This window comes from Homo sapiens, chromosome 1 (assembly GCF_000001405.40).
Source record: "Homo sapiens chromosome 1, GRCh38.p14 Primary Assembly".
In the NCBI taxonomy this organism is placed as follows: Eukaryota; Metazoa; Chordata; class Mammalia; order Primates; family Hominidae; genus Homo; species Homo sapiens.
This window is the reverse complement of record NC_000001.11, coordinates 214,094,688-214,113,816: the sequence shown is the minus strand read 5'-3', so window position 1 is coordinate 214,113,816 and position 19,129 is coordinate 214,094,688. Positions and strand designations below refer to the sequence as shown.

General features: G+C 41.6%; 1 long non-coding RNA gene across 1 annotated transcript in view, besides 3 other annotated features; it reads left to right on the top strand.

Annotated features, from left to right (window-relative positions):
- Positions 1-1,653: 1,653 nt before the first annotated feature.
- Positions 1,654-19,129, top strand: part of LINC02775 (long intergenic non-protein coding RNA 2775) — a 58,251-nt gene continuing 40,775 nt past the window's right edge. The window contains exon 1 of the long non-coding RNA XR_922584.2: positions 1,654-1,913. This is a non-coding gene — a long non-coding RNA (long intergenic non-protein coding RNA 2775). The remainder of the gene's footprint in view (positions 1,914-19,129) is intronic.
- Positions 5,080-6,565: an enhancer, noted in NCBI's record as "VISTA enhancer hs2357". NCBI's record gives its function as "enhancer in: heart[8/11]" and the evidence as "EXISTENCE:transgenic organism evidence [ECO:0001131][PMID:17130149]".
- Positions 5,437-5,731: a silencer, noted in NCBI's record as "tiled region #3036; HepG2 Repressive DNase matched - State 8:EnhW". NCBI's record gives its function as "represses a minimal TATA promoter and a strong SV40 promoter by Sharpr-MPRA in HepG2 cells {active_cell/tissue: HepG2}" and the evidence as "EXISTENCE:reporter gene assay evidence [ECO:0000049][PMID:27701403]".
- Positions 10,392-11,591: an enhancer, noted in NCBI's record as "CDK7 strongly-dependent group 2 enhancer chr1:214275569-214276768 (GRCh37/hg19 assembly coordinates)". NCBI's record gives its function as "activates an origin of replication core promoter dependent on BRD2, BRD4, P300/CBP, MED14 and CDK7 cofactors, with strong dependence on CDK7, by STARR-seq in HCT116 cells {active_cell/tissue: HCT116}" and the evidence as "EXISTENCE:reporter gene assay evidence [ECO:0000049][PMID:35650434]".

Sequence of the window (19,129 nt, the reverse complement as noted above, 5' to 3'; positions counted from 1 at the left end):
TTTGGGATTATTATGAAGAAAAATATGTTAAAAATATTTAGCATGGTACCTGGACATAATATGTGCTCAATAAACATTGCGATTATTATTATTGATGTACAAAATAACATGTTGGCTAGGTACCGAAAACATCAACAATGGTGAGCTTGAGGATTGGGATTGTGTATGATTTTTATTTTCTTCTTTTGGCTTGTATTTTCATGTTTTTAAAATAATGAACAAGCATTATTTATTATATGAAAACAGATGAGAATTATTGCTTTTTAAAAAAGGATTAGACCAATGCAGCTGTGTTTTGCTTGGGTTAGGTCAAGTGGACCAATTTGAATGGGTTTGATGGTCTCCTCAGGTTCCTATGAGCCTTTTTATTCAGCTATTTCTAAGCTAAAGCGAGGGGAGTTGTGGTGCATGTAAGAGCTAATGTTCTGAGGACAAGAGTGGGAGGAGGAAAGAACAAGAGAAACTGGGGAAAAACATTGAGATTATAAAGCTAAAGAGGTCCACATGCTAAAGTGAGGAGTTTCTCAGGAACGGAAAACTAAACTTCGTATGTTCTCACTGATAAGTGGGAGCTAAGCTATGAAGATGCAAAGGCATAAGAATGATACAATGGACGTTGGGGACTTGGGGAAAAAGGTGGGACGGGGGTGAGGGATAAAAGACTACACGTTGGATATAGTGTACACTGCTCGGGTGATGTGTGCACCAAAATCTCAGAAGTCATCTCTAAAGAACTTATTCATGTAAGAAAACACCACCTGTTTCCTCCAAACCTATTGAAATAATAATTTAAAAAGTTAATATTAAATAAAATAAGGAGTTTCTGAATCTAGGTTCTCATTTCTTGGTTTGGAATGAGTTTAACTTTAGGGGTCCTATGCTGGGAAAAAAGAAAACAAATAAATTCCACTTTGGTTCTGGCATTAAAAGGTTTCATGAGGAGGCAAAGTCTGAAAACGGGCTCTTGAGAAAACTGGATTGAGTGTGCCGCAGCTCAAGATTCTCTAGAGCTATGCTGCCCAATAACATATGAGCCCCATGTAATTTTAAATCTTCTAGTTGCCACATTTAAAAAGGAAAAAACAGATGAAATTAATTTTAATAATAGTTTATTTAACCCAATATATCCAATATATTATCACTTCAACATGTAATCAGTATGCAAAAATTATTATGATTTTGATATTAAGCCTTCAAAACCAGTTGCTTTTTTTTTTTTTTTGAGATGGAGTCTCGCTCTGTCTTCCACGCTGGAGTGCGGTGGCGCTATCTCGGCTCACTGCAAGCTCCGCCTCCCAGGTTCACGCCATTCTCCTGCCTCAGCCTCCCGAGCGGCTGGGAGTACAGGCGCCTGCCACCAAGCCGGGCTAAGTTCTTGTATTTTTAGTAGAGACAGGGTTTCACCGTGTTAGCCAGGATGGTCTCGATCTCCTGACCTCGTGATCTGCCCACCTTGGCCTCCCAAAGTGCTGGGATTACAGGCACCAGTTGCATGTTTACAGCACATCTCATTTCAGGCTTATCACCTCCCAACTGCTCACCTGTGGCTCATGGCCACTGCACAGGCTGGGCAGCTGTGGACTGTGCAGCTCCCCGTCCAGGAATGGAGATTATCAGGAGTCAGCCTAAGTCCTATCATTTTTCTCTTCTATCTTATCACTATCTCTTCTTGGAGGGCCTCGGATGTGTCTGGCCACTTCCTGCCAGGGCCATTCCCTGATGCTGCCAACCTTTCCCAGAAAAGGAGTGGCTCCTAGAAAGACAAGGCCTACCGAGAAATGCAGAGGGGCAGGAAGTGAGCCATTTCGAGGGCACTCCTGTGTCACCCTGTGCTGTTGGAGTCGCCGAGGATACAGTGTACAGGTAGCGGGATAGCCGGTTGCCAGCACAGGCTGGGTTGAGAAACCTCCAAGGTCAGCAGATGGCATGGGGAGGGCTGGGCAGGGAGAGGTGTGGGTTGACCACCCGGCTGAGTGCGTAACCTTCCTTTGTCTTTCCTACCTTACAGCATTGCTGCCTGCTACTTCTCTCCCCAAGCCCGGCGCTCATTCCTCCACACATGTAGTAGCCCTGTGTTCCTTTTCTCCCAACTAAAGGCAATTCAAGATAAATAAATATGTTGATCTTGCCTGGGGGGCTCAACTAGTACGTTTGTCAGCACTGGGACCGGGGTTTAACCATGACTAGCTACTTCATTTGTCACAGGGGTGTATTTATCTGTGTTTGGAAGATTTAATTTTTCCCCCACGAAGAACTGTATAAATAGGTCTAATGAGCCTTGAGGGCTCTCATTTCCTTTCAGAGTTTCCAGCAAGCTGGGAAGTCTCAGGGCACGCTTGCCTCTTAGGACTCTGTGGTGCCCACTACAAGGGGGACTGGCGAAGCCGCATCATTCTCCTGGAGGGCACACATGGCCTTGGGATGCCCAGGTGCTCTCATTCAGGGGGCTTACGTTTGGGGATGTGTAATTAAGATTATTTTTTTCTCTTTGCTTATGATAATCTGCATAATCTTTTGTTTGTGTAGCTGGCAAAGTGCTCTCCAGATAAAGAGAAGGGCGTAGTTAATATATATGAATAGAAGAGTAACACTGGGGGCTGCTTGCTCTGAAGATTGCCTCTCCATCCAGCCAGCATCCACTCCTGCCTTTCCTATATCATGTTTTTCTTTTATGAGAGAGTTTCTGTCTAAGTAAGAGCCGATGTTAATTCCAGCAGCATGTGTTCCAGGGGCTTGGGGTGGTGGTACCAAGAGAATGACGATGAAACAGAGAGAGAGAGAGAGAGAGTGTAAGGCTGTGGTGCAGAAAAGGGAGAGGAGTGACAGAGGATGTGCAGGGGGAGGCAAGGTAAGGGAAAGAAGATTTTTAAGAAATGAGAAAAAGGAAGATAATGAAGGAGGGGGGAGGATGGAGGGAGAAACACATGAGGTTAAAGAGGGAATATCATAGATGTCTTTGATGGGAAAGGCCCCAGAAATCCCATTTTGGTTTCATAGCTGGGGAAACAGTGGAGAGCAAGGGAAGTGACTTTCCTGTGCCCACCCACCATGGTTACTGGCAGAGCGCGGGTTCTCATGCATGGCTCTGTCCTCAGTGGTACCTCCAGGAGGAAGAGTGGAGAGAGACGTACAGGGGGCTGTTTTAGAACTTGGTGGGTTCTTGTTTCAATTAGTGTGTCAACATTGATGATCTCGGGTGAGTCCTCTTTGTCCCCTTCCTCCTGACCACCACTGGTCATTGCGGCTCTGGCTACTTCTTTGCAACAAGTGCTCTCTATTCTGGTCTAAGTTTTCATATCATCTGGGTGAGATTAAGAAAGCAGAAACCCTGGCTGGTCGCATTAAAAACAAAACCAAAAATAACTCTGCATACTTACCCCATGTTGACTCCGTTAGGAGTGTCTGTGCTTATTTCTTAGGCTCCCCATGTTACTAGAACACACTTTGAGAATTTCTTTATGCATCACACACACACACACACACACACACACACACACACACACACACACACAAAGTGGGGGGCCGTGGTACAGGTTCTACTCCCAGCTCTGAAGGAGTGTGCCGTTTTACTCCTTGCCTCAGTTTTCTCTACAGAGGAATGGGCAGGTTGACCTGTTGACCTCTGACATTGGAGGCCCCCTTGGCTTCCATATTTCGTGACTGCAGAGGCAGAATGGTTTGGGGGAAAGAGCTTGAACTGTCTACTACCTGTAAATAGACAATTTCTAAATTCTTTCTGGCTTCTTTGCCCATTGCTGAAGCAATAGGTCTCATCATTTCTGCCTCATAGGATTTTAAGTTTGAGATAATTTTTATGAGGAAGTGGTCAGGAAGGCCTTGGTAAAGTATAGTGGGTACAGGTTTTAAATTGCATTTTTCTTGTTTGCTTGTTGTCTATTTCCTTATTCCTGTGACTTTTAGGCTGAAGCTGGCTCATATTGGCTTGCCAAAGCTGATGAAGCTCATCTATTTCCAACTTTGTTCAGTCATATCTCCTTGGTAGCCTGAAATTGGTCATGGTGGGAGTGTTTACACCAAGGAAATTGGCTCACGCCTGTGATCCCAGCATTTTGGTAGGCCGAAATGGGAGGGTCTCATAAAGTCAGGAGTTTGAGTCCAGCCTGGCCAACATGGTGAAACGCCTACTCTACTATAATAAAAATACAAAAATTAGCCACGCATGGTGGTGTGTGCCTGTAGTCCCAGCTACTCAGGAGGCATGAGGCAGAAAATCACTTGAACCTGGGAGGCAGAGGTTGCAGTGAGCTGAGATTGCACCATAGCCCTCCAACCTGGGTGACAGAGTGAAACTCCATCAAAATTAAAACAAAAAAAAAAAAAAAAGGAAATTGGCAAATGTTGTAAATCAAGCCTTCTTTTCCCCCCTGAAAATTCAGTTGGGAAACATTACCAGCACTCCACTGAGCCTGACCTTCCTATTTTATTTAGGTTTATTCTGATTTCTCTGGATTTTGAGCATATTATTCACTTATGTAGCACCTGCTCATTTTGAGCTTACTGCATAAGTACTATGGATAGCAATGCCAGATAAAATACAGGATGTCTAGTTAATTTTAATTTTAGATAAACAATGAATAATGTTTTAGTGTAAGTATGTCCCATGCAATATTTTGGATGTATTCATACCATAAATGTATTATTTATCTGAAATGGAAACTTACCAGGGGTGTCTTGTATTTTTCTTTGCTAAATCTATCTACCTTAGCTATGGAGAATCTAGACTTATAAGATACAGTTCCTGCCTGGAGATGCTTATCGTATAGTAGAGATTACCGACCTTATGAAATTTGAGATGAGAATGTAAACTGGGAACTTGGTACACTAAAATCCTCATCTACATCATCATGTACCCTTTATTCAATGTTTATTGAACAACTATTCTATGCTGGGCACTATTCTAGGTTCTGAGGATTCCTCAGTAGACAAAACACAGACCCTTCTCACAGAGCTTCTCTCTGGTTTGAGAGAGACAGATAATAAATAAGATGAAAAAAAAAAGACTTAAGATATTAGTAGTAAGCACTGTGGAGAAAAATAAAGCAGAGAAGGGACCTGGGGCAGGTAAGGGAACAAGCCTTTCTTAAAAAGAATGTTTAGCCGGGTGCAGTGAATCACGCCTGTAATCCCAGCACTTTGGGAGGCCAAGGCGGACGATCACTTGAGGTCAGGAGTTCCAGACCACCCTGACCAACATGGTGAAACTTCATCCTTACTAAAAATACAAAAATTAGACAGGCGTGGTGGCACGTGCCTGTAATCCTAGCTACTGGGAGGCTGAGGCAGGAGAATCCCTTGAACCCCGGAGGTGGAGGTTGCAGTGAGCTGAGATCGCGCCACTGCCCTCCAGCCTGGGTGACAGAGTGAGACTCCATCACAAAAAAAAAAAAAAAAAAAAAAAAAAAAAGAATGTTCTAGGAGGAGGGTGCAGCCAGTGCAAAATCCCTTCACTGAGTCCTGGCCACATACCAGGCATGGTGCATGCTAAGTGCTTCATTTCCACAAGGTCATTTCATCCACACAGTAGCCCTTTGTGGTAGGTATTCATCTCATTTGCCTTTGCATGTGAGTAAACCACAGACCTGGGAGGTTAAATCTCTTGCACAGCTACTCAGGGATGGAGCCTACTCTCTCTCACCCAAGGCGAGCTCTCAAGCCCCTGGCACTTTCTTTCCCAATGAGACTAGTTTTAAAAGAGGTACTTCTGGATTTTCTCTGCTCTCAACCTCACCTGGCTCTGGGAGGAGGTGGGGGAGGCCCTGGCAGGCCTCAATGAGGCCTGTGTGCAGTGGGGCACCCCGCCTGCCGGAGAGGATAGCATCTTCCCTGCATTGTGGGCCTGCGGAGCACGCCTTCCTCTGCCCAGGAAGCCTGGGGGCCAGGCTTGGAGCTGTTCTCCCAGGAGCTGGGCTGGGGGTGGGGGTGGGAGGCGGGTGTCACCCCGAGGTCCTACAGACGCTGACCTTGCACCTAAAAAGGATACATTGTTTTCAAACACAGCTTCCTATTCCTGCCAGATAAACCACTACATTAACAATGCGTCCAGGTTGTAAAATGTTGGCCGGGGTTTCGTTTTTAGCAGCGAACTTTTTGTCAACAGATTGGCATTTTCCTCTCCATTCACCAGGGCTCAGCTCTCCTTTCAGGGCTGGGCACTGGCCCCTGGGTACCCAGAGATACACACACACTCAGGCTCGGTTCAGCCTTGCAGCGTTGATAAGGGTGTTATTATTAGACGTGGCCTCTGGAATCCCGGAGTTCATTCCCAAACAACGGCTCTTCTGGGTGAAATGAAAGAGCAGCTCCAGTTATCGCAGCAGCGGCGCGGATCCATTACCTCCTGGGCCTGCGAGTGCGGACCGCCCTTGACAGTTATCCCTGGAACCCCGGCTTGGAACTGGGGCCAGGACAAAGTGCATCTGTCTGCCCCTCCCCGCCAGCCAGTCCCACCTCCTCACTCACTCTCTGGGATGCCCCCATCAGCAGGAGTCCTGACACAGGGTTAATTTGCCCCTGGGCCGGGGGTCCCACACCTTGCTTTTGCTCCACGCCATTTCCTGTCCCCTCCCCAACCCCCTACCCCCTATATCTCCTTATTCCTCTTCCCCATCTTCAAAGCTGAGCTGAGGACTTACCACACCCAGGGGGTCCTCTGTACTGCATATGGCCCTGAGCAAGAAGTTTGCAAAAATTGATTGCCTCTTATTTGTCGTTTTCTTCCTAAGGGTGCTTTAAGATTTGTATATGTTTTTATCACAAAATAAGTGCCCTCAAGTATTTTTATGTGGCTCCCCAGCCAGATGGTAAGCGGAGAATCTGATGCCTGTGGTGCCTAATAATAACAGTGCGAGATCCTTGGGGGCAGAAAAAGTGTCTCTTTTTCCTTGGTTGAGGTATAAAATATTTGCAGTCAAATACAAAAATTGCATTCATCTTAGGTGTACGGCTCAATGTGTATTTATACATACACATGCATATATATGAACGTCTATTTGCTAACCAACACCCACATCAGGATTCAGAACATTTCCAGCTTCCTCCAGTGTCTTTCCAGTCAATGCCTAGCCTGCCCCAAGATAACCACTGTTTTGACTGCTACGAGATGTCTTAAACGTCTCTTCACGCCACATGGCAAACGCTTGATAAACTTCTTTTAAATTAAAACATATTATGCTGCAAAGCACTGTACTCAGTTGACCGGATGAGGTCTGCTATTGGCTCTTGGGGAATGAGTTAATCGCGTTAGCCTGGGGTTGTATTTCAGTAGCTTTGCCCGTGCTGGATTTAAACACAGTGGAAACCAAGTTAAGGGCAGTGCTGTTCTGTATATCAGTATGCCCACTGAGCCAAGGAGACCCATTTATTTTTAATTGAATTAAATTGCTCACAAAATGAAAGTAGCATACTTTCGTTCATATTTAATTACATACAGTGTTAAACAATGATCACCAAGAAAACTTTGCAGCTTTTTTTTTTTTTTTTTTGCCTCTGCTTTATTACTTTGTTAAACAAGATACTCTTATTAGCTGTTTTATGCTTGGAATTTTAAGGGCCCTGCTCTTCTACCACTCAAGAAGTGCTTAATTGGCAGGACACAGCTGAGTGAGGTGGTAGGTTGGCTGTGATACTGGCCATAGGCATTGTGTATGTGTATTATATATGTGTGTGTGTGTGTGTGTTTGTGTGAGCACACGTGCGTACTGGCTTCAATCACTGGGTTAAAAAGAGATAATAGTGGGAACAATTAGGGCTTCTAGCAAGTAAAACACACATTCTAGTTATCCTGCAGTCTAGAGCCATGCCTACTTCTCCAAAAAATTCCGTATATGCTGAGAAAAGACATTCCTTTTTGCAAGAGGTCATCCCCGAGGAAAGAGAGTTCTACTTTGCATAACAGCTTATTTTTGTACTTTATCCAGTTTTTCCTACATAATAAGCAATGATTCTTAAACTTTAGAGTACCTAAGAATACCCCGAGGTGCCCGTTAAAATACAGATTCCTTGGTCACATGGCCAGAAACTTTAATTCAGTAGGGGCCACAGAATCTGCATCTTCCACAGTGTCCAATGTGTTGATTTTGATACAGGGACTGGAAGGCCGCACTTTGAGAACTGTCATCATGAAGAACAGAACATAGGACAGAATTGAAGAGATCATCTAGTCTTATTTTTAGCAGTAGAATGTTTTTCAAGCTAAATCTTATACAGAACCCCCACAGATAAAGCAAATGAAAAGATTGTTGCTGTGCTGAAAGTGATGATGGCGTCTCATGGCTTCTCTTTTCTCCTGTCTCTGTAGCCTCTTCCTGGGGGTTACAGTCACAGAGCTAATGCACTTGGACCCACAGTTTGAAAACTCCTGAATTCATCTTATTAGTAAACAAATAATGAAGGTTTTAGTTGGGTAAATTGATAACATCAAGCACGAATTGTCTAAGTTGTGTCCAGAGACAAAATAGCTTCCTGGAGAACTAGTGCAGAATCTGTCATAAGAAGGATTCTGTAATTTTTGTGGAACGAATGACATTTTAGATGTTGTCTTAGATGTCACTGGCTGCCACTTGACTGGGTTATTCATTTGTTCATTCATTTATTCGTTCAACAAAAATTGTTGAATGACCATGATGCAAGGGACGTTAGTGTAGGCACTGGGGATACAGCAGTGAAGAAGACAGACAAAATCACTGTCCTTTCACAACTTGTGAGTAGCAGTGGAACAGAGATGGTAGATAAGAAAGCAAACACATAAAGGGTATGGAGGATGTGAAAGAGTCACATGTATTAGTCAGGGAAGTTCTCCCAGAAGAGGCAATATTTGAGTTGAGACCTGAATGATAAGAGGGAGGCCCCCATGGGAAGAACTGAGGGAAAGGGAAGGGGATTTTGTTCATAAATGTCCAAACTCTGAGGTATGAAGAAAAGAAAGAAGACAGTATAGCTGTAGCATAGCAAGAAAATGGTGTGAGATGTGGGCAGAGAGGCTGGCAAGGGCTACATGAAGCTCCAAAGGCAGGAGTTTGATATAGAGGCTATTCTAACTTTGTGGATGTCATTGAACTAGTGATTATGGCAGGCTGTGTTTTCTTTTCTTTCTTTTTTTCTGCACTCCACCTATGCTGGAGTGCAGTAGCACTATCATAGCTTACTGCAGCCTCAAACTGCTGGGCTCAAACAAGCCTCCCGATTCAGCCTGCTGAGTAGCTAGGACAACCAGAGTGAGTTGCCATGCCCAGGTAATTTTTATCTTTGTAGAGATGAGTCTTCCTATGTTGACCAGGCTGGTCTCAAACTCCCAGCCTCCAGCAATCCTTCAACCTTGTCTTCACAAGGCACTGAAGTTACAAGCATGAGTGACTGTATCTAGTCATTATTTTCCAATGATGGATGCAATGCTATCTCCCATCTCCCAGTTTCTTCTTCAATGTGATGTTGCTTCCCCCCCGTCAAAAGAGTGGAGTTTATTTCTCTACCCTCTTGAATCCGAGTGGGATCTGTGACTGCTTTGACCAATGGGATACAGCAGAAGTGACGCTATGCCAGTTTCAGGCATAGCCGTTTACTGGCCTGGAAGTATCTGTCTTCTACTTATTGGACTGTTCACTTTTGGCGTTCTCTCACTTAGGACCCAGCCATTGTATTGTGAGAAGCCCTAGCTGCATGAAGGAACTGTGTGTGGGTGCTCTGAACTTCCACTCATCAAATGCCATTCAGGAGGGGAGTCACTGGGGATGTGCAGCCCTAGTGAGCCTTCGGATGGCTGCAGCCCAGCCAACACCTGATTGCAAGTACAGGGAGAAGGCCTATGCAACAACCGTCCAGCAGAGCCCAGTCAGTTCTCAGAGCTGGGGAAAATAGTAACAAATTATTGTTTCAAGCCATTATATTTGAGGCAGATGCTTATTCAGGAATAGATATACAGATCAACACTAAGATGGCCTGATAATAAGAATCTGAGCTGCTAGTATAGCTCTCTTTCCCCCTCTATCATGTTGCCATAAGCCTCTTAGTGAAGAACTTCTGAGCCAATGAGAAGCTAAGAAGAGCTTTTTAAGACAACTCACTTTCAAAATCTAAGTAGTTTTCACTTTGATATGAATAACTTCTCGCCCTAAGAATTTTAGTAATTTTAGTATTCTTTTCTTTGATTACATGCTGCTCTTTTTTTTTCCCCCCCTGGGAGCTTAAGTATCACAGAGAAATGAGAGATTTAGTTCAGAAAATCCTCCCAAAAGATAATTTTTCTTCAGCAGAGAAGATTGCTTTGGATTAGCCGTACACCCCAGGGCTTACTAGGAAAGCCCTGGGCTTTAAATTCAGAAAGAGAAGAGGTTGATTTCCAGTTCTGCTATTTCTACTCATTGTGTAATTTGGGTCAAATAATTTAAACTTTCTGAGTCTGTTTCCTCATCTATAAATTGGGAGGATGATACTGAATAATGGTAGATCAAAGACTAAATGAGATTTTTGCAGAGTGCACGGTGCACATAATGCATGTAGAAAACATTATTTCCATCCTACTCTCCTCCATTCTTCTCCTACTCTGGTTTTCCCCACTTCCCCTTCCTGTCCTTCTTTATCCCTCTCTGATAAGAATGCAGAGCTTAGGAGTACAAAAAAAGGGGCTGGGTAAATGAGAAAGCTGCAAATAAAGCCTGGAGTCCTACAAGCATGACGTGTGGCTTAGTCATAGAGGATGGAAGGAGCACAAAGGTCCCCCTCAAAAGTCCTTGGAGGCTTATGTTTCTCCCTTTGCTGGGTGATTCATGATCTCGTGGCTATTTCAGGTTATTGTTAATTTGCCTTTTAGTTTACAAAGCACTTTCACATACCTTATTGCATTTGATCTTCACAATAACTGCAGGGCAGTTATTATTTTCTTCATTTTACAGATGAACCAAGTGAAGCTGACAATGGTTAAGAAATGAGCCCACAAACAGTGAGGAAGAGGCAAAGACTTCGCTTGAACCCAGATGGTCTTGATCTCTTAGTGCAGCTTCCAGTATTCTCATGCTGTCTCCTGAAAATAATTCTCAAGTTGGTAACACAATAATGGTTCACTCATCAAGAGATGTCTGTTATAGGAACTTTTTAAAAGGCACTTCTGGGGATAGAAAAATAGGTAAAAATCATAGCCCTTGCTTCTGGAATTCTGCCATTTAGGATAGAAATGAGAAAAGAGATTTCTGGCCAATCTTTTCTATTTTTCTAGCTCTCTCCCTTAAGTACTGTGATGACTACAATTCCAATTAGCCTACCAGGATGTCCTTTGAACCTAGCACTATTTTAATGTCATGCGCTTGACTTATGTCCTTGTTTCTCTTCTTCCCTAGTTGAGATTCTAAGGTCCATCATTAAAGTCATTCCCTATGTAACATTCTAACTCTCACACCCCTTCCCTCCTCATCAAACTTGTCTGGAAAACCCCAGCCCTGGGTAAATCTAACACTTAATCTTCAGGGCACCTGCACCTTCCTAGCTGAACATGGCTGGAGAAAAATATACCACTACGGTGAGTGATCTCAGTTTAAATTCAGATGACTAACTTCAACTTTGCTCTCAGTGTTGGCAGCCAATTCCACTCTAATTTCCTAGTCCATTCACTTTGTCTCTGGCCTAGACAACTATTTCACACCCTCTTCTCTTTCCTCAAATATTCAATATCTTCCCTCCCATCCATACTCAGAGGGAAATTCCATAAACATTATAATCCCATCTACCCACCTCTGTGCCTTTGTGCTGTGTGCTCTACCTTTGATGTACAGGTTCCTAGATAAGGAAAACCCCTTCACATTTGCTGCTAGATACTACAAGCAGCCTTGAGTCTTGCTACTCAAGGACATCACTCTGCATTATCGACTTCTTCCTTTCTAATGCATAATCTCCGTTAGCATACAACCATTGCTATTTTTTCCCAGCTTAAACAAAATTCCTGCCTTGAGCTCTTATTACCCTTTAGCTTCTTCCGTTTCTCTAGTCTTCTTTACAGCAACACTCAGAAGAGTTGATATTCAGTGTTGCAATTCCTCTTTAATTCTCACTCCTCCAATCTGCTTTTCTTCTCCACCAAACAACCAAACTGCTTTCATCAAGGTTGCTGATGACGTCCATGTTTCTGAATTCAATGGCTACTTCTCAGTACTCCTCTTCTTTGTGTCTCAGAAGCATTTGACTATATAGATGACTTCCTCTGACTTCCTTCTCCTTGAAGTGTCCCCCTTACCAGGCTCTTAGGATACAATGCATTGCTGGATTTCCTCCAATTCACTGGCCACTAATTCTCTTTTGCCAGTTCCTATTTATCTTCCTGACCTTTAAACATCTGAGGAGCACCACAGCTCCACCTTCAGACCTCTTTTCTCCTTCCTGTATGTTCATTCCCTTAATGATCTTATCTAATCTCTTTCAATAAGCTGAGGACTCCCTTTTATGGGCTGAATTCTGAATTGTGCCCTCCCCTCCAAATCACACGTTGCAGCCCTAATCCCTGGTGTGACTGTATTTGGAGACAGGGTCTTTAAAGAAGTGATGAAGTTAAGATGACGCTGTTAGGGTGGGCCCTAATCCAATTTAACTGGTGTCTTTATAAGAGGAGGAAATGTGGACACACAAAGTGACACCAGGGGTGTGCACAGGGAACTGAGCACAGGAGGATACAGTGAGAAAGCAGCCATTTGCAAGCCTCAAGAGAAGCCCACATCTAGATCTTGGACTTCTAGCCTCCAGAACTGTGAGAAAATAAATTTCTGCTGTTTTAGCCACATAGTCTGTGGTTTTATTATGGCAGCCAAAGCAAAGTTATATGCTTTCAAATTTCTGTCTCTAGCCCAGAACTCTCCCTAGAATGCCTATACCCAACTGCCTATTTGACATTTCTACTTGGATATTTAATGGGCATCTCAGGCTTAACATGACCTGCCCCCTACCAGCCGCCAAACCTACTTCTCCAACAGTCTTCCCCATATTAGTAAATGAAAACTCCAATCTTCTTGCTCAGGTCAAAAACCTTGGAGTCACCCATGACTTCCCTTTCTCCCTCTCCCATTCTCTCTCTCTCTCTCTCTCTCTGTCTCTCTCTGTCCTATTGTGTTCTATATTGAAATCATAAGCAACTATTTCCAGCTCTACCTTGAAATTATATCCAAAATACATTCTTTTATACCACCATCATGACACCACCTTCGTCCAAACCCCATTATCTGTCATCTGTCACCTGGGACAGGTGCTTACTCTCCAGAACTTACTATCTTTTCCTCTTCTTTCTTTCCTCATCGCCTTCTCAATGTCTGTACAGCTCTGCAGTCAGAATGCTCCCATGAAGACATATTGGGTCCCATTACTCCTCTGCTCAAAACCCTACTACAATTCCCATCTTGCTCAGAATAAAACCAAAGTCCTTACAATGCCTCTTTGACCTCGTCGCCTGCCATTTTCCCTTTTGCTCCCTTGGCTCCAGTTTAACTGGCCTCCACATTTTCTTCGGCCATGTCCAGATACGTCCGCCTCAGAATTTTCACATTGTGACTCCCCTGGCTTTGCATGTTCTTCCCCTCACATACGTTTATCTCCTTCAAGTCATTTATGGCATCTTTTCAGGGAGGTGTTTTCTGACCACTTTCTACCTCTGCCTGGCATTTCTTGAACAACCTTCCCTTCTTTGTTTTTCGTCACATATCTACTTTTCTATATACCTTCCTTATTTATTTGTTCATTGTCTGTCTCTACTAGGAGGCAAGCTCTGTAGGCCCAAGTTAAGAGTAAGTTTGAGGTGAGGCTTTCTGTTTTGTTTCCTACTGTTTCCAGTGCCTAGAACAGTGCCAGGCTTCTGGTGGGCACTCAATAAACAAATTCAACTAACGGGTTCAATGAACTAGTGAATGAAACTAGTGGAAGTCTTCAAGGCTAGGCTGAGTAGTTTGGAATAAATATAATAGGAGAAAATCCATGGAAGCTCTTGGGTGGAAGAATTTGTTGACTGTGGTATCTGAGGAACATGATTTGTGGTATCTGAGAATAATATCTCTAATAAGTGTTGTTCCCTCTTTTCTCCATTAAAATTTGTACCTGGCAAATTTCTAGTCATCCTTCTGGATGAATTGTAGACTTTGGCTTTGTTTAACTTCCTCTGACTCCTTGGGCTAGAATCAACCCTCCAGTCTTTTGGGGAACCTCGTCTGTGCCCCTCAGTTTTGTTCTTATTTTGGTTACACTTATTACTATTAAGTTTTTATGTATCTGTCTCCTGCACTAGACTGTGGACTGCAATGTGTGGATCTAGTGCCTTCTTAACCTAGCAGGACATATAGCATAGGTAACTAACAAGATTTAATTTCAATAACTTGGAAGTAAGAATTACAGATTGTCTTAAGGTCTATAAACAGAGGAAGGAGCTTTTTTTTTTTTTTTTTGACAGAGTCTCACTTTGTAGCCCCAGGCTGGAGTGCAGTGGTGCAATCTTGGTTCACTGCAACCTCTGCCTCCTGGGTTCAAGGGATTCTTTTGCCTCAGCCTCCTGAGTAGCTGGGATTACAGGTGTCCACCACCAAGCCTTTTTTTTGTATTTTTAGTAGAGACGGGGTTACACCATGTTGGCCAGGCTGGTCTTGAACTCCTGACCTCAACTGATCCACCCACCTCGGCCTTCCAAACTGCTGGGATTACATAAGCCATGGCACCCGACTGAGAAAGAGCTTATTGCTAAGAAATATTAAGTTCCAGGTTGTGAAAGGACTCGTAAATTCAGTCACTGTAGCACAGTCTAACCTCTTTGAGGAACTGGAGAGAATGAGAGGTATCAGAAGACGACATGTGAGCAAGTTTTGCCCTAACTCAAAACGAAATAAAAATATGGATTAGGGAAACTTTACACCAGTGAGTCTGACAATATAGTGCCATAATAGATTGTCCTTGAGAAGTTTCTAAGAAACATATTCATCAAGAGCCAGGGTACATTCACAAAGAACAAGTCATTCTGGAATAATCTATGTCTGTCTTTGACAGGGAAATGACATTAGTGGGTGTGGGTATGGCAACTGAGGTATTGGATATGGTACTTCATTACTTGATACTTGGGCATAAGATGGAGAAAGAAGGTCTGAATGAAGGGGGGGAGAATAACATGGCATTTATAAGCACAGATTAAATCACAGTTCTGTCAGCATCTTATTGTGTGACCTTGAGCAAGCTATGTAAAGTCTTTTTTTTTTCCAAAACACCTTTTTGTATTGATTTTTCTTTTCTTTTCAACTTTTATTTTAGGTTGAGAGGGTACATGTGCAGGTTTGTTACTACATGGGTAAATTGCATGTCATGGAGCTTTGGTGTACAGATTATTTCATCACACAGGTAATAAGCATAGTACTTGACAGGTAGTTTTTCAATCCTTACCCTCTTCCCTCCCACCCTTCACCCTCAAATAGACCCTGGTGTCTATTGTTCCCTTCTTTGTGTCCATGTGCACTTGTAAGTGAGAACATGTATTTGGTTTTCCATTTCCATGTTAATTTGCTTAGGATAATGACCTTCAGCTCCATCCATGTTGCTACAAAGGACATGATCTGACATGATATTCTTTTTTTATGGCTGCAGAGTATTCCACAGTCTATATGTACCACATTTTCTTTATCCAGTTCACCACTGATGGACATTTAGGTTGATTCCATATCTTTGCTGTTGTGAATAGTGCTGTGATGAACATATGTGTGCACATGTCTTTAGGGCAGAATGATTTATATTCCTTTGGGTATGTACCCAGTAATGGGATTGCTGGGTCTAACGGTAGCTCAGTTTTAACTGCTTTGAGAAATTGCCAAACTGCTTTCCACAGTGGCTGAACTAATTTACATTCCCACCAGCAATGTATAAGTGTTCCTTTTTTCTGCAACTTCTCCAGCGTGTTATTTTTTGACTTTTTAATAATAGCCATTCTGGCTGGTGTGAGATGGTATCTCATTGTGGTTTTGGTTTGCATTTCTCTGATAATTAGTGATGTTGAACATTTTTTCATATGCTTGTTGGCCATGTGTATGTCTTCTTTTGAGAAGTCTATTTTCATCTCCTTTGCCCCTTTTTTAAAATGGGGTTGTTTGTTTTTTGCTTGTTAATTTGCTCAAGTTCCTTATAGATTCTGGATATTAGACCTTTGTTGGATGCATAGTTTGTGAATATTTTCTTCCATTCTCTAGGTTGTCTGTTTGCTCTATTGATAATTTCTTTTGTTGTGCAAAAGCACTTTAGTTTAATTATGTCCCGGGTGTCAATTTTTGTTTTTGCTACAATTGCTTTTGCAGTCTTTCTCTTAAAATATTTGCCAGGGCCTACATCCAGAATGATGTTTTCTAGGTTTTTCTTCTAGGGTTTTTATAGTTTTAGGTTGTATATTTAAGTCTTTAATCCATTGTGAGTTGATGTTTGTATATGATGAAAGAGTCCAGTTTCAATTTTCTGCATATGACTAGCCAGATATTTCAGCGCTATTTATTGAATAGGGAGCCCTTTCTCCATTGCTTGTTTTTTCAGCTTTTTCAAAGATCAGGTGGTTGTAGGTGTAGCTTTATTTATGTGTTCTCTAACCTATTCCATGGGTCTTTGTGTCTATTTTTGTACCAGTACAATGCTGTTTTGGTTACTGTAATCTTGTAATACAGTTTGAAGTTAGGTAGTGTGATGCCTCTGGTCTTGTTCTTTTTGCCTAGGATTGGTTTGGCTATTCAGACTGTTTTTTGTTTCTATATGAATTTTGGAGCAATTTTTTCTAATTCTGTGAAAAATGTCATTGGTAGTTTGATAAGAGTAGCATTGAATCTGTAAATTGCTTTGGATAGTATGGCCATTTTAACAATATTTATTCTTCCTATCCGTGAGCTTTAAATGTTTTTCCATTTGTTTTTGCCATCTGTGATTTCTTTCAGCAGTGTTTTGTAATTCTCATTTTAGAGATCTTTCACCTCCCTGGTTAGTTGTATTCCTAAGTATTTTTTTTTTTTTTTGGTAGCTATTGCAAAAGGGATTATGTTCTTGATTTGGATGTTGTTGGTGTATAGAAATGCTACTGGTTTTTGTACACTGATTTTGAATCCTGAAACTTTGCTGAAGTTGTTTATCAGAACTAGGAACTTTTGGGCAGAGACTATGGGGTTTTCCAGGTATAAAACCTTATCGTCTGTGAAGAGAGATAGCTTGACTTCCTCTCTTCCTATTTGGATGCCTTTTATTTCTTTCTCTTGCCTAATCTCTCTGGCTAGGACTTCCAGTACTATGTTGAATAGGAGTGCTGAGAATGGGCATGGTTGTCTTGTTCTGGTTCTCAAGGGGAATGCTTCCAGCTTTTGCCTGTTCAGTATAATTTTGACTGTGGGTTTATCATAGATGGCTCTTATTATTTTGAGGTATGTTCCTTCAATGTCCAGTTTGTTGGGAGTTTTTAACATAAAGTGATGTTGAATTTAATCAAAAGCCTTTTCTGCATCTATTGAGATGATCATGTGTTTTTTGTTTTTAGTTCTGATTATGTGATGAATCACATTTTTTGATTTGTGTATGTTGAACCAACCTTGCATCCTAGGAATAAAGCCTACTTGATCATGGTGAATTAGCTTTTTGATGTACTGCTGGATTTGATTTGCTAGTGTTTTGTTCAGGATTTTTATGTCTATGTTCATCAGGGATATTGGCCTGAATTTTATTTTATTTTATTTTATTTTATTTTATTTTATTTTATTTATTTTATTTTATTTTATTTTATTGTGTCACTGTGAGGTTTTTGGTGTCAGAATGATGCTTGCCTCATAGAATGAGTTATGGAGGAATCTTTCCTTCTCAAATTTTTGGAATAGTTTTAGTAGGATTGGTACCAACCTTCTTTATACATCTGGTAGAATTTGGCTGTGAATCCATCAGGTACAGGGCTTTTTTTGGTTGGTAGGCTTTTTATTGCTTATTCAATTTCAGAACTCATTATTTGTCTGTTCAGGGTTTCAATTTCTTCCTGGTTCAATCTTGGGAGATTGTATGTTTCCAGGAACTCATCCATTACTTCTAGGCTTTGTAGTTTGTGTACATAGAGGTGTTAATAATAGTCTCTGAGGATTTTTTGTATTTTTGTGGGATCAGTGGTAATGACCCCTTAGTGATTTCTGACTGTGTTTCTTTGGATCTTCTCTTTTTCTTTATTAGTTGAAACAGCAGTCTATTAATCTTATGTATTCTTTCAAATACCAACTTTTGGTTTCACTGATCTTTTGTATGGTTTTTCGCATCTCAATTTCATTCACTTCAGCTCTGATTTTCATTATTTCTTTTCTTCTGCTAGGTTTTGGGTTGGTTTGCTCTTGTTTTTCTAATTCCTCTAGTTGCAATGTTAGGTTGTAAATTTGAGATCTTTCTGAGTTTTTGAAGTGGGTGTTTAGCACTATAAACTTTCCTTTTAACACGGCTTTAGCTGCTTCCCAGAGATTCTGGTATGTTGTTCTTTGTTTTCATTAATTTCAAATAATTTCTTGATTTCTGTCTTAATTTTATTGTTTACCCAAAAGTCATTCAAGAACAGGTTGCTAATTTTCATGCAATTGTATGGTTTTCAGAAATCTCAATATTGATTTCTGTTTTTATTGTGCTGTGGTCTGAGAGTGTGATTTTGGCTTTGTTGAATTTGTTGAGAATTGTTTTATGGCTAAGCATGTGGTCAATTTCATAGTACGTGCCATGTGCAAATAAGAATGTATATTCTTCTGTTGAGTGGATCGTTCTGTAGATGTGTGCTAGGTCCATTTGGTCAAGTATTGAGTTTAGGTTCTGAATATCTTTGTTAATTTTCTGCCCTGATGATCTGTCTAATACTGTCAGTGGGGTGTTGAAGTCTCTCACTGTTATTGTGTGGTTATCAAAGTATCTTCATAGGTCTCTAAGAACTTGTTTTATGAATATGGGTTCTCCAGTGTTGGGTGCATATATATTTAGTATAGTTAAGTCTTCTCATTGAATTGAAACCTTTATTATTACGTAATGACCTTCTTTGTCTTTTTTGATCATTGTTGGCTTAAATCTGTTTTGTCTTAAATTAGAATACCAACCCCTACACTTTTTTGTTTCCCATTTGTTTGATATATTTTTCTCC